The following is a 13,560-nucleotide window of genomic DNA, read 5'->3' on the forward strand; positions in this document are numbered from 1 at the left end:
GCAAGTTGCTTCATCCCTCATTCGAGGAAGTGGGGCCACTGGAGCGTCTACCTCATAGGCTTACAGGTGGTTGGGAGGATTAAATGAGATGAGCACATGCAGCATTTAGTACAGTGCCTGGCATAGAATAAGTGCTCCATAGGGATTAGCTAATGTTTTATAATTCTAAAGGGGAGGAAAGATGGATATTAAGGTTGGAGAACTATGGATCCTTCCCATTGTATTCACAAAGAAAACCATGCCATGAGGCTTTTTTGGCAAGTCACTTTAACTTTTTGGGCCTAGGTTTTCTTAACAGTGAGATGCTGGGTGGTTCTAAATGATCTTTCAAATTCTGCCCATGACTATAATCCTATGATTCTGCAGTTTTAAAGAGCATCTTAATGAATACAAAGTACTTGCCAGAATATTTTCTTTTTTGATTCTCCCCACAACAGTAATGGGCCGATGATGATTCCTGCCATTTTCCCAGACCAGGCAGCAGAGCTGGCAGACATTTAATGACTCTCCCTCACAAGGCCATGGAGCTCGTGAGAGAGCATAAGGCCAGGTTCCCTTTACACACATGTGGTGTGTAAAACGGATGTACCTCGATTGGGCTTTTGCCCTTGTCATGGAACTGAGCCCGAAGGAGGTTCTTAGAGGAGCGGGGTGAGGATTTCAGGAGAGGTGATTCCCAGGGGAGCTTCAGGCCAGGACTGTCATAGTAGAGCAGTAATTTATGGGCTTCTGACAGCTTGAAAAGGTCATGGTGTTCTTCTTTACTTATAAATGAAAACAAAGTAATTTGGGGGTCAGGGAAAGACGAAAGGGCTTGTGCAGACTGACCTCAAAATCCCTGGTGGTTATCATGTAAAAATTCGATTTGTTTGATGCAATTAGCCAAACCTGGACACTTTCTTCTCCTTCTCAAAGCAATTGGGATTCAGGGCACAGGATAAAACAGAGTTGGGGCAGGGGGCAGGGAGGAGGCGCTCTGGCAACAGTGGGAAGTCCAGATTGTTTCTATTGTGCGTGCTGATGTAATTCTTTTTCTGCAAGCCCTCTGTGGTTTATCACTTTGCCTTCATGCACCCTTCTTATAAAGCAATTACAGAATCACGGGAAAATAGGCAGTAGCAGTGTGAATCAGTGCCTTTTGGAATGGAGAACTGATACAAACTGGGCTTCAGTTTGCAGAGGGTTGAGGAATGTCTAAGGCTCGTGGATGGGGGAAGGAGAAGTGACAAGGGATCACAGATATTGTATATTGGGCCTCTTTGGCCAGGCCCTCCAGTCCCCGAGGCCCTTCTATGCTGCTTACTGGCTGCATGAGGGCTGTGGCTGTGGCCGTCGCCGTGTCAGCTGAGCTTGTAATTTAGATGTTACCACTGCTCAACTATGAAAAGTCAGGATCAGCAGCTTTGTCCTAGTGCTGGGAGGGAGGTGTGGGCCCTGGGGGAACCGGCAGCTGGATTTAGAGTGTGACCGATTCCAGGAACCCAACAGAGCTGCACTAGGGCCCTCCTCACCTCTGTGGGTCTGAATTTGGGGTAGGGTTCCCCAAACCAAACTGTCCAGACTTTTCTGTATTGACATTGAGTCTATAGTCATTAGTGATCAGGGTTCCGATTAATCTGTGTCCTTATTTTAGAGTAGCTTTTGGCTTAGGGTTCTGGTGACCAACTGGTCACAACCATAATTTAGCTTCTGAAAGGCCATAAGAGTCAGAATTTGTCTAACAGGAATCTCCACAGAGATCCTGCTGCATTTATAATTGGGCATTTCCTCTGCATTTACTTTTGCCCCTTGTCTCCTACTCCAAGCCACCCCCATGTGCTTGAATGTTGAAAGTTTTGGGTTGCCAGGCTCAACTTACCAGCATGGTTCCATTTCTGTGATTATTACTAACTGCATTGCATCATACACAGAGCAAGTGGTTGGAAAATAGACCTGCGTCCTAGCAGTGGGCAAGAGACTCGACTCTCCTGAATCTCAGTGTTTTTACTTTTACCATGGGAGTTGTAAAATATCCAGCCCAGTATAACATTGGCTGGATGTAAAACAGCCTAGTATACAACATGGGCTTTGTAAAGTGAGGTGCTGTTGGAAAGTTGTTTGTAGTAAATTGTATTATTACATACTATACTTATATAGTACCAAACATTGGCCCAAAGAGTTTTATTTTGTTACTTCTTTTTGATCTCATCAACCATGCCATGCAAAAAAAGAGGCATTTTAGAAAAGAGGGAAATGGAGGCTCATGTATGTTGAGTGACGTGTCCAGGATTATTTGCTGAATAAATGTCAAAATCAGCAGTACAACTAGGTGTCTGGAATCTTAGTCCAGTGCACCTGTCATTGTGTGCTGGGTGCAAGGCATTAAGGCTCACTGGTTGTGGTCCTAAGTGCTCCCCTGCCTTTGCCTGCTTGCCCCCCATTCATTTGTTCATTGGCTATTATGAGAGCAGCTGTAAGCCAGGCCCTGTGTTAGGAATGCTGCTAACGAGGGCAACAGGGCTCTTGCTCTCTTGGAGCCTATTGTCTAGTAGGGGAGACAGACTTAAAAAAATATTATGGCGTCAATTGATTCTCTTTATTTTCTGCATCCTGTGAATGCACAAGGGCCCAGAGTGGAGAGAGACTTGGTCCCCTCATCTTGGGCTTTGTCTTACTTTCTCTTTCCTTCTAGAAAGTTGTGAGTCAGTTCTTTAGATGGGTGCGTCAGGGTTCTGCCTTCCTGTATTTGAGGCTTTGTGTACTTGGTAGTTGGAGATGATGGACGTTGCATTTGTGTGGGCTGAAGAGAATTAAGGAAGAAACGAGGCAGGGAAGTTTCTCCGAGGAGGCACATTTTGAACCCGCTGTTAACGATTATGGCAGTGGCCCTTTGGAGGCAGCTGCCTCTCTTGCTGACTGTCATGACCCAACCATGGCAATTTTCACTGAGACTGCACCTTCTGTTTGTGATGTTTTAGTTCAGGTTTACATTATCTGAGTAGAACTGGGAATGACAAGGCTATGAGGTCCTGCCTATGCCCCTCTAACATCGTTTCCCCACCAGAAGTTTTCTCCTGAGGATGTATTAAATGCCGACTACTTCCTTGGAATTGCTGGATAGCCTTTCCAGCGTGAGCAATGGGGACAGCTCCAGAAGAGTGGCACATCAGGCCAGGGAGGATTATCCCAGATTTTACAGCTGGGTAGGTGGAAGGCAGGTCTGGCTTGTCCCCACTTCCATCAAGGAGTAGAGGTGATTTGCAAATTTCTCTGTGGTTTGGTTTACTTCTTTCTCTTGGTCCTTTGATTCTTTCCGCCTTCGTCTTTCCTTTTTCTTTCTCTTTGCACCTTTCTCCCCTGAAAGATCACTTGGCAGAATGGTTAGAAAGTACTACCTTTGTGGCTTAGTTGATGGTGCACAAAATAACTGAAGAAGAAAACATACCTTGGCTTTGCAGATTGTATCCTTCTGGAGAGCTGAATTTTCCAGAGTGCTAAAGCTGAATTGTATCCATTGTAAGCAACAAAGCTTTTTTTTTTTTTTTTTTTAAAAATTATCTTTAAAGAATCCATTTTAAAAGGAAATTCTCTGAAAATACATTACACATTTAACTACCTTCAGAAGCAGCCGGCTGAGAACTTAACCCGACATTCTCTCCATCATGCCGGGTCACTGTTAGGAACATCCAAGATTCTGCTGTGCTCGAGTGATGGTGCCTTCAGGTTGCTTGCCCCTGCAGGTGGTGGCTCCAGAGTCTTAGACTTCTCTGGTTCTTCTTTCTTTTCCTGTCCCATCTGGATCCCCCAAACCCTGACCCCTCAGACTGTTAGGTATTATTTCTGCTTGTATTATCTCTCCCTTTCTGATTTGTGTGTTAAGAAACAAGACAGCAATTTATTTAGAAATATAAGAACAGCATCTGCCATGTAGTGGTTCTTATTGTAGATACTGCAATAGTTTGCATAAACGTTCCCATTTAACGTCCACACAGATCTGTGAGGTGAGCAGCATTGTGATCCTTATTTTACAGAGGCAGACGCTGAGTGGTAGAGAAGATGACCACATATTCTCCTTGCCTGGAATACAGGAAATGAATTCAACATTCATTCATTGGGGACTTCTATTGTACTTGTTAGATATCATTAGTTAAAAATAATTGATGTTGGGGGTGTTGAGCAGTAACAGAAGAGTTAAAAAATAGAATATTCTCATAGTCTGGTTATGTACAGGGCTTCACAAATCTTTGTGTTGTTTTACAGCACTTAGCGGGCCTTAAGAATGAGAGAAACAGTCTGCAAATTAAATCACAATGCAGATGCCATCTTCTCACTGCTACTGTGGGGTTTAGCTCTACAGATCAGAGGATGGCTGAGTATAGTAGGCATTTTCTTTTTGTCACGTACTGATGTCACAATACTTTGTGTTCTTTTATGTGGTCTAATTGCTTCAAACTTGAATGTGCTTTCATTTAAATCCATTTATGTTGCTTTTGTCAAATGGGAATGATTTCCATATGAATTTGAATTTACATACTCATAGGCCCTTGAGACCGTGTGGATATAGTGAACCCAACTCTTGGTAGACTTGGGCTCTATTTTTGCCTCAGCCACTGACTTGTTGACTTGCTGAAGGGCCTTGAACAGAAATGATTACTTTTCTGGACTTAACACTCCTCAGCTGTAAAATGAGGTAGGAAATCTGATGTGATTTCTAGTTGGGGACATTCTAGAAGATTCCATATTGTATCTCAAATGACTGTTCAGAGACACAGTCTTTAGGTGCTCACTCTAGAGAGGACTGTGATAAGCATAAAGCATAATAATGTAAACCCTAACTTACAAGTTTCTTTAAAAGTTGACTCTTAAGGGTATTACACTTGCTCATATTTTAAATATTTAAAAACAATTAAAATTTTTTTCCTTCATATTCACCATTGGCTTTTCAAGCATGCACAGAAGTGGTGTGCAGATCGTTTCAGATCAATTTATCATAAAATCTAAGTTGATAGGTGTTCTCTTAATGATGTTCTTATACTGCCTGTTCACCTTGACCCTTTAGCTTTGAGTAGATTAGAGAGTGTAGGGGAAAGATCTTTTTCCCTTCAAATACTCAAAGGATCATGTGTTCTCTTGAGCAGTTCTGCAAATCCATATAGGACAACAGGAGAATAAGGATTTAAAGTGAAAGATTTCAGTCGGCTGCTGAGCTGCTGGGAGGAAGAGATGGTGTGTGGTGCTGACCTGTCCCTGATTGCCCCTCATAGAAAGCGAATTGGCTCTCCCCACGTTGGCTCCCATGGAAAGGACTGATGGGAGAGAGAGTGAGGAGAGCTGGGGATGCCCTTCCAGAATGCTGACCAGGGCACGTGGGAGCAGTGGTGCTGGCTGGCCTTCAAGATCCCTTTCTGCACATGGGAGCTGAACCAGTGAGATACAGCACCTGGATCAGGCAGCGCAGAGGAGCAGTGTGGTTCTCCTCTGTGGTGTGAAATTACCCTGGAACCACCAAGCAGGGTTCAACAGCACTGATCCCTCCCATCAACCCAGGTCTAGGTCTCACTCCCTCAGCACCATCTCGCAGCTTCTAGCACCCCTGGAGGCTCTGTGAACCTCTCACCCTGCATTCCTTGACTCTTCATGAACTGTCGGCCTTCCTGTGTAAGTGGGTCAGGCACCATGTGACCTGCTCACTGCCAGTTTCTTCTTTGAATAGATGTTTATTTCATGGATCATTTTGAAGATTCTCCGTGGGTGTGCAACATGGTTTTAGAATGTTGGGTAATTTCTCATGTGTTCTTTGAGATGGATGGCTTCTCAGTCGTCTTTGCAGTCAGCCACTGTAGACTTGAGTTTCTCTCTTGCTGTCTTCATTTTATTGCTCCATATCTGAGGAAAACCATGTGAAAAATCCCTAGACACATAGGAGCCCTGAGAAGTGGTGGCAGGGAATGCTTGGGGGACAAAACAGATTTTAGAGTTACGGGTATTTTAATTAAAAAAAGAGAGACCCAGAATTGTTTTTCACTTAAATGAGCAATTATATCTTTAACTTGGGGATGGAAATATGTTGTGAAATTTGTTTAGTCAGCTCCCTCTGAAATAAATAAAATTACAGTGATGATATCATTCTTGTTTAAAATGTTTGAAAAGGTATCAAGACAAAGTGATTAAGGCCTAACTGTTTGCCAAATTTTCTTTAAAGCTCCATTTTTGGGGTATTTCTATGCCAAAAAACATCTTAAACTGATGAACATATAGTTCTCCGCACTTGTATTGGCTGGTTTTTAATTAGATGACTGTTTTAATAGTGGAAGAAATACATTTAGGTTGGGCCTAAGCCCCAGGGTGCCAGATTTCAATCCCAGAAAAAAATGTTCTCTCTGTTTAGTGCTAATGTGCACTTAAATAGCACAGGTGTGAGTGCTTTTCCCTGGCCACGGTCACACATGACTTTCCCAAGGGCTGATTGGTTATGGGGTTGGCAGGTTTAAGGTCAGGTTCCCCGGCTTGCCCTCCACCCAGAGGAGCCAGGACTCTCAGGCTCCCTGTAAGGGAAGAAGTTACCCAGATCATGAGCCTGTTTTGTCTGGGTCAGACTGACTTGAGCCACAGGGAGTGGGTACAGAAGCCTGGGTTGCTGCCGGGTATGACCCGACCTTCGTCTTGTACCCACTGTCTCCTTCCTTTTGTGAGTCACCAGCTCACACATCTACATGCCTGTAAATGAACTATGAGGTATCGAGTATGTGCTACCTACCGTGGTGGATGCTGGGAAGGATGAACCATGCATTTTCCTAAACCCACACTTCGAGGTTTACAAAGATAAAATCTCATGGCTCTTTGCCATCCCCTTCTCAAGAACCTTCACTGGCTCTCTTTTTAGTTAGGAAAGAAGGTCCAAAGCAAAAGAAAGGAAACACAGGGTGTGAAGGCTGGACTCCTACCTAACACACCTGTCCATTCCAAACAAACTGGCCGTGCCTCCTCCTCGATCTCCCACTTGTGTGGGTGGCTGTGTCATTTCTGTGCAGCAGCTGATGGTGAGGTCTTTCACTTGGCTCCATGGTGAATGGGGAAATTCTCCCAGGCACTCTTCCTGCCTCATCTGTGACCGTTTGTCTTCCCCTGGGGCTATAGTTTGAGTACTAGGTGGTATTTTCAGTCTTGTCTTTGCCCTGAGGATGCAGAAGTACTCTATGGCTATCCCACTCCTGACCTATGCCCAGGCCCCCTCTTCCCTCTGGGGGTGGATCCCACTTGTACGGGCAACTCAGTGCAGTACCCTGGAAAATGGCAGACCTGGGGTATCTCTGGTCTCTGCCACTGTCTCCCAGTGTGTGTGGAGGGGCTGTATGCTTGAGGCATTATTTTACTGTGGCTTACCTCCTTGGTGTTTTCTCCAACTTGGAGCTTGGGTGAGAATGCTCAGGGCTTGGTTGACACCTCTTCATTGTCCCAGAGGTGTAAGGGCTGGGTCGGAAGCTATGCCACCAGAAGCCATGCTGCCCTTTCCACCAGATACTTCTGTTTCTCTTCTCGACATAGACCAATTCCCTTTCTTTCTTTTTCTTTTTTTGAGACAGAGTCTCGCTCTGTTGCCCAGGCTGGACTGCAATTGCACAATCTCAGCTCACTGCAACCTCTGCCTTCCAGGTTCAGGCAATTCTCCTGCCTCAACCTCCCAAGTAGCTGGGATTAAAGACATGCACCACCATGCCTGGCTAATCTTTGTAATTTTAGTAGAGACAGGGTTTTACCATGATGGCCAGGCTGGTCTCAAACTCCTGACCTCAAGTGATCTGCCCGCCTCGGCCTCCCAAAGTGCTGGGGTTACAGGACATTTCCCTTTCTTGTTTGATTTCTCCTGGTATCTTCTTTCTTTCTCTTTGGACTTTCTTTCCTATCTCATATTTATTTTGCTTGGCATTGTAGTAGAAAGATAACATGTTACCACTTTACCCTCCAGTCTGAACTTGGAACTGCTGCCATACACTAAAAGGATTTACTATTCTTAAGGATTTCCTTCCATCCTAAACTACAAACTTTTTCAGGTCAGGAACTACATTTTATTTTGTGTATTCCCACTGTACCTTCACCTGCTGAGTGCTTAATAAACCCAGGACAGAATTGAAGGCAGGCTGAGCCTGTATAGGAGAGCAGTTGCTTTCAAGTTATGTTAAAAACTCCTGGGCGGGAGCATTCAAAAATTACTCATAGATAACAAATCCAGCTACCTGCACGTGCATGAAAGCAGGGAACTAGAGCCACTTTCAGACAGTGACTTCAGCTTAGGAAACAAAAGGTTACTTTAAAGTAATGCTGTTTTACTTATGTTTAACCAATTCTAGTTGACACACTTATTCAGAATGGCCTTACTGCCAATTAGTGGAGCATGTTAGTGAAGTTTGTAATAAAGTCCTAATTTCCGTGACTAATGAAGCTTTACTTGTGTTCAACACAATCCCTGCTCTCAGTTATGAAGTTATAAAAAAATGTGTTTATGCTGTTGCTGCCGCTGCCCGTCTGTCTGCCTCCCTGCCTGCCTGCACAGTCTTTAAGAGCACTGTTGCTCTCCTCCTGTTCCTCACGCATTTCAAGCACAAATCCCTACCATTCATCAAAGGCATTTGCTGGTGGTGGCAGGGGAAATGTCACAGCACTGCTGCCACCACTGCCAGGTATCTTTTTAAAATGTAATGTGTGTGTATGGGTATGTGTGTGTGTATGACTTCCACCATTTCTACGGGAATGTTTTTTGATTAGAAAAAGAAATAGTTGTTACATTTGCAATTTGTAACCAGAACCATTTTCTTTCCAATGCAGTTGTAACAGTGTAATGATAAGTAGGGTCTTTATCCAACCCTATGACAAGTCACATGTACACACGCCAGACATAGGCTCCAGATTCTGTAATATTTAGCCCTATACAGTCAACAGATTTGATTCCCTGGCAGTCAGTCTTTGCATTGGAAGAGAGAGTAAAAATTAGGACTGGTGAGTTCAAAGGTTCTTCTAAGGCCTAAGCCTTTGCAGTAGGAGCTTTCCATACTAGATATGTTACCTAGAGACTTGTGTTAAAGTGGAAAATCATGGGCTGGGCATGGTGGCTCACACCTGTAATCTCAGCACTTTGGGAGGCCAAGGCGGGCAGATCATGAGGTCAGGAGATGGAGACCATCCTGGCTAACACAGTGAAACCCTGTCTCTACTAAAAATACAAAAAATTAGCTGGGCGTGGTGGTGGGTGCCTATAGTCCCAGCTACTTGGGAGGCTGAGGGAGGAGAATGGCGTGAACCCGGGAGGCGGAGCTTGCAGTGAGCCAAGATGGCACCATTGCACTCCAGCCTGGGCAACAGAGTGAGACTCTGTCTCAAAAAAAAAAAAAAGGTGGAAAATTATCATACAAATCATATTTGTGTCAATCTTTGTGAGGGTGTCCTAAACTGTAAGTGTGCCTATATGTGTGTTTTAAAACCAGAATGTCTAGTATTGTACCACAGAAAAAAGACGTTACAAAAATAGAAATTGTGTCAGTAATTTGCTTTTACTGCTATGAACAATCATATGCAATTCCTACAAGTCATGCTGTGTCTAGCCTCACAGCCCCCTCACTCTCCAGGCCTTTCTGCCAAACTCAGCTTCTCTGTGAGCATGCCCTGATGAGTTCAAGGGGCTCCCTTCTTCGTGCCACCACCTTTGAGTCCACAACAGGATGGCTGTTGAATTGAACATGCACTTAGATTTCGTTACCGTTTCCTAGGTCTTTTTCAAATACATTCCGCTTCTCTCTTTAGTTACTTTTTAGTCTCCCTCAAGGGTAGGGATTAGATTCTTCTTTGTTCCCTCTCCCATAGCACAGTTTATGTGGCTTTTGCTGCGTGAGGTTAAAGCACATTGGTGGCTTACATCTTATCCATTTGTAACCACCCAGGGACCAGCACATGGCCTTGTACCCAGTAAACAATCAATATTTTGTTGATTAATGATGCCTAAAGCTGGTTAAGTTCTTGGACTCAACATTCTTCTGAGCTCAATGACTATTTGCATTCTAGTCATAAACAGGAAAAGGTTCTGTTGGCAGCCAGGGAGATAGTAAATACCCCTGACTCTCATACATTGACTTAATCAGAAACAACAACTTCCCCTTTTCAAATTTGCATTGTGAATGATAATATCATTTTCAAATATGTAGGATTATGACATTTTAAAGAGAATATAATGAAATAGAATGAAGGTGAAAACTTGTAATTATATTAGAGCAAAACTATGTTTCCCATAGCTTATATCCTACTATTTCTATGTAGTGTATCTGGCGTGGTCCCATGAGGATGCCATAACCAAATGATTGAACTAGAAACTGAGAAAGACTTATCAAACATTTAGTGTCACGGGCTTGTGAGATGAATCAATGCTGGGATTTCCAGCTATGTTTTTTATGGCCCTGTATTTTACAAAGCTGTGGAAAATATTGAGCATTTGAACAAGGCTCTCAGTCACAGTCGTATAACAAGATGCAGGATAGGGCTTTGCCCGTGGAGTTCAGTGTGAAAGTGGCTGTGGTTGGTGGACCTTCTGCCCTTTCCCCTATTGCTCTCTGGCTGCTTTTTCTGGTGGGTGTGTGTGTGTGTGTGTGTGTGTTTTTTTTTTTTTTTTTTTTTTCTGAGGTACTTCCCAGGGAACAGAGAAATAAGTTGACAAAAGGCACATATAAAAGAGAGATCTAGGACTTTCTAAACCTGAGGCCCACAGCCCTTTCATTTAATGCTATATTGGCACATGTCTTTTTTCTCTTCAAATCATTCTCAATCATGGTCCATTTCTCACCACCCCCTCCTCCCAACTTGTTATCAGTTGCGCCTGACCTTTTGGGAAGGAAGAATCTTTAAACCCTGTTTGCATCTCAGCAGACGGGAATGCCTGCCTACTTCTCATCTAGGGCTCCTTTCTCTGCCTTTAGAAATTCTTTTTTATTCTTGATACACACTGCTCAGATTATTTATTAATTTAAAAATTAACATACAGTAAAAATCGGGGTGTGTGCACGTGTATACAGTTCTGTGAGCTTTAACATATAAATTGTTGTATCTCTTACCACAATTAAGATAACAGAACAGTTTTGTCCCCCGCAAAACTTATCCTGCCTCTTGTAGTCCTATTCTTCCTTTACCCCAGCCCATGGCAACCACTGATCTGTTCTCTATTGCTATAGTTTTGTCATTTCCAGAATGTCATGTAAATGGAATCACTCAGCATAATGCCTTTGATATTCATCCATGTTTAGGAGTGTGGAGAAATCGTTCTTTTTTATTGCTGAGTAATATTACATTTATGGATATAGTACAGTTTATCCATTTATCTGTTGAAGGAAATTTGGGTTATTTCCAGTTTCTGGTGATTATAAAAAGGTGCTAGAAACGTACAGGTTTTTGTATGAATATAGATGTTCACTAGCGTAAATACCTAGGAGTGGAATTGTATATTTAACATTATAAGAAGCTAACTGCTTTCTAAAATGGCTGTACCATTTTGTATTCCCACCAGAAGTGTATGAGAGCTATAGTTGCTTCACATTCTTGCCAACACTTAATCGTGTCAGTACTTTTTATTTTAGCTTCTGTAATAGGTGCGTAGTAGTATCTCATTTTGGTTTTAATTTTTATTTCCTAATGGATAATAATGTTATGTTATTTCATGCGCTTATTTGCCACCTGTTTATTATTATTTTGGTGACTTGGTGAAGTGACTATTTCTGTCTTTTGGGTTTCTTTTTACTGTTCAATTTGAAAAGTGCCCCATATATCCTGGATCCAGGTCTTTTATCAGATATGTGATTTGCAAATATTTTCTCTCAGTCTATAGCTTGTCTTTCTATTATCTCTCTTGCTCTCTTTTTTTTTTTTAATTTTTTTTTGAGACAGAGTCTTGCTCTGTTGCCAGGCTGGAGTGCAGCGATGTGATCTTGGCTCACTGCAACTTCTGCCTCCTGGGTTCAAGTGATTCTCCTGCCTCAGCCTCCTGAGTAGCTGGGGCTACAGGCATGTACCACCATGTCTGGCTAATTTTTGTATTTTTAGTAGAGATGGGGTTTTACCATGTTGGCCAAGCTGGTCTTGAACTCCTGACCTTAAGTGATCAGCTCACCTTGGCCTCCCAAAGTGCTGGGATTACAGGCATGAGCCACCATGCCCAGCTGTCTTTCTGTTCTCTAAGTGTGTTTTGCAGAGCAAAAGTTTTAAATTTTGATGACATCCAGTTACTTGGTTTTTCCTTTTATGAGTTATACTTTTGATGTCGTATCTAAGAAATCTTCGCCCAACTACAGATCATAAAGATTTTCTCCAGTTTTTTTCCTAGAAGTTTTATAGTTTTACATTAAGATCTGTGGTCTATGGCCAGGCGTGGTGGCTCACCGCTGTAATCCCAGCACTTGGGAGTCCGAGGAGGGCGGGTCACCTGAGGTCGGGAGTTTGAGACCAGCCTGACCAACATGGAGAAACCCCATCTCTACAAAAAATACAAAATTAGCCGGGTGTGGTGGTGCATGCTTGTAATCCCAGCTACTTGGGAGGCTGGGGCAGGAGAATTGCTTGAACCCGGGAGGTGGAGGTTGCAGTGAGCCGAGATTGCGCCATTGCACTCCAGCCTGGGCGACAAGAGCGAAACTCTGTCTCAAAAAAAAAGAAAAAAAGAAAGATCTGTGTTCTACTTAGATTTAATTTTTGTAGAAAAAGTATGAAGTTTAGGTTGAAGTGCGTTTTCTTTTGCATATGAATGTTCAGTGTTTCAACTCTATTTGTTGAAAAGCCTATCCTTTCTCAACTGAATTATCTGTACATTTGTCAAAAATCACTTGGCCATACTTGACTCTATTTCCAGACTCTATTCTGTTGGTCTTTGTGTCTGTCCCTTCACCAGCACTATACTGTTTTGATTACTACAGATTTATTGTAAGTCATAAAGCGGGGTGACTTGAATTCTCCAGTTTCTTATTTCTCAAATTTTTGTCGTTCATTTTAATTCCTTTGTCTTTTCACATAAATTTCAGATTCAGCTTGCTGACTTCTACCAAAAAAGCCTGCTGTGATTTTGATTGCACTGAATCTATAGATCGATTTGGGGAGAATTGATATTTCAATCATATTGTTTTCTAATTCCTGAACATGATATCCTTCTCTATTTATTAAGGTCAGCTTCTGTTGAGTTGATCATGTGCTTTTGACCTTTATTCTATTAATATGATGTATTACACTGATTTTTGTTTGAACACAATCTCACGTTCTTCATATAAATCCCACTTAGTCATGGTCAAAATGTTTATATGTTTATATACTGCATTCAGTTTGCTAGCATTTTGTTGATGATTTTTATGTCTATATTCATAAGAGATGTTGGTATGTAGTTTTCTTTGTGATATCTTTGTGTGGTTTTTGGTATCAGGTAATACTGGCCTTATAGTATTCCCTCCTCTCCTGGTTTTTGTAGAAGTGTTTATGAAGGATTGATGTGAATTCTTTTTTTGAACATTTGGTAGAATTCACCAGTTAAGCCATATGGGTTTGGCCTTTTCTTTGTGAGAAGTT

At 42.5% G+C, this 13,560-nt stretch overlaps 1 protein-coding gene across 21 annotated transcripts in view, besides 1 other annotated feature; it reads left to right on the plus strand.

Moving 5' to 3' along the window:
* Positions 1-13,560, plus strand: part of CACNA1D (calcium voltage-gated channel subunit alpha1 D) — a 319,123-nt gene that overhangs the window by 50,233 nt on the left and 255,330 nt on the right. The gene's annotated exons all lie outside the window — the stretch shown is intronic.
* Positions 744-1,245: an enhancer, noted in NCBI's record as "NANOG hESC enhancer chr3:53579614-53580115 (GRCh37/hg19 assembly coordinates)". NCBI's record gives its function as "activates a minimal SCP1, AML or CMV promoter by ChIP-STARR-seq in primed H9 embryonic stem cells {active_cell/tissue: H9 hESC(primed)}" and the evidence as "EXISTENCE:reporter gene assay evidence [ECO:0000049][PMID:30033119]".

This window comes from Homo sapiens, chromosome 3 (assembly GCF_000001405.40).
Source record: "Homo sapiens chromosome 3, GRCh38.p14 Primary Assembly".
Lineage (NCBI taxonomy): Eukaryota > Metazoa > Chordata > Mammalia > Primates > Hominidae > Homo > Homo sapiens.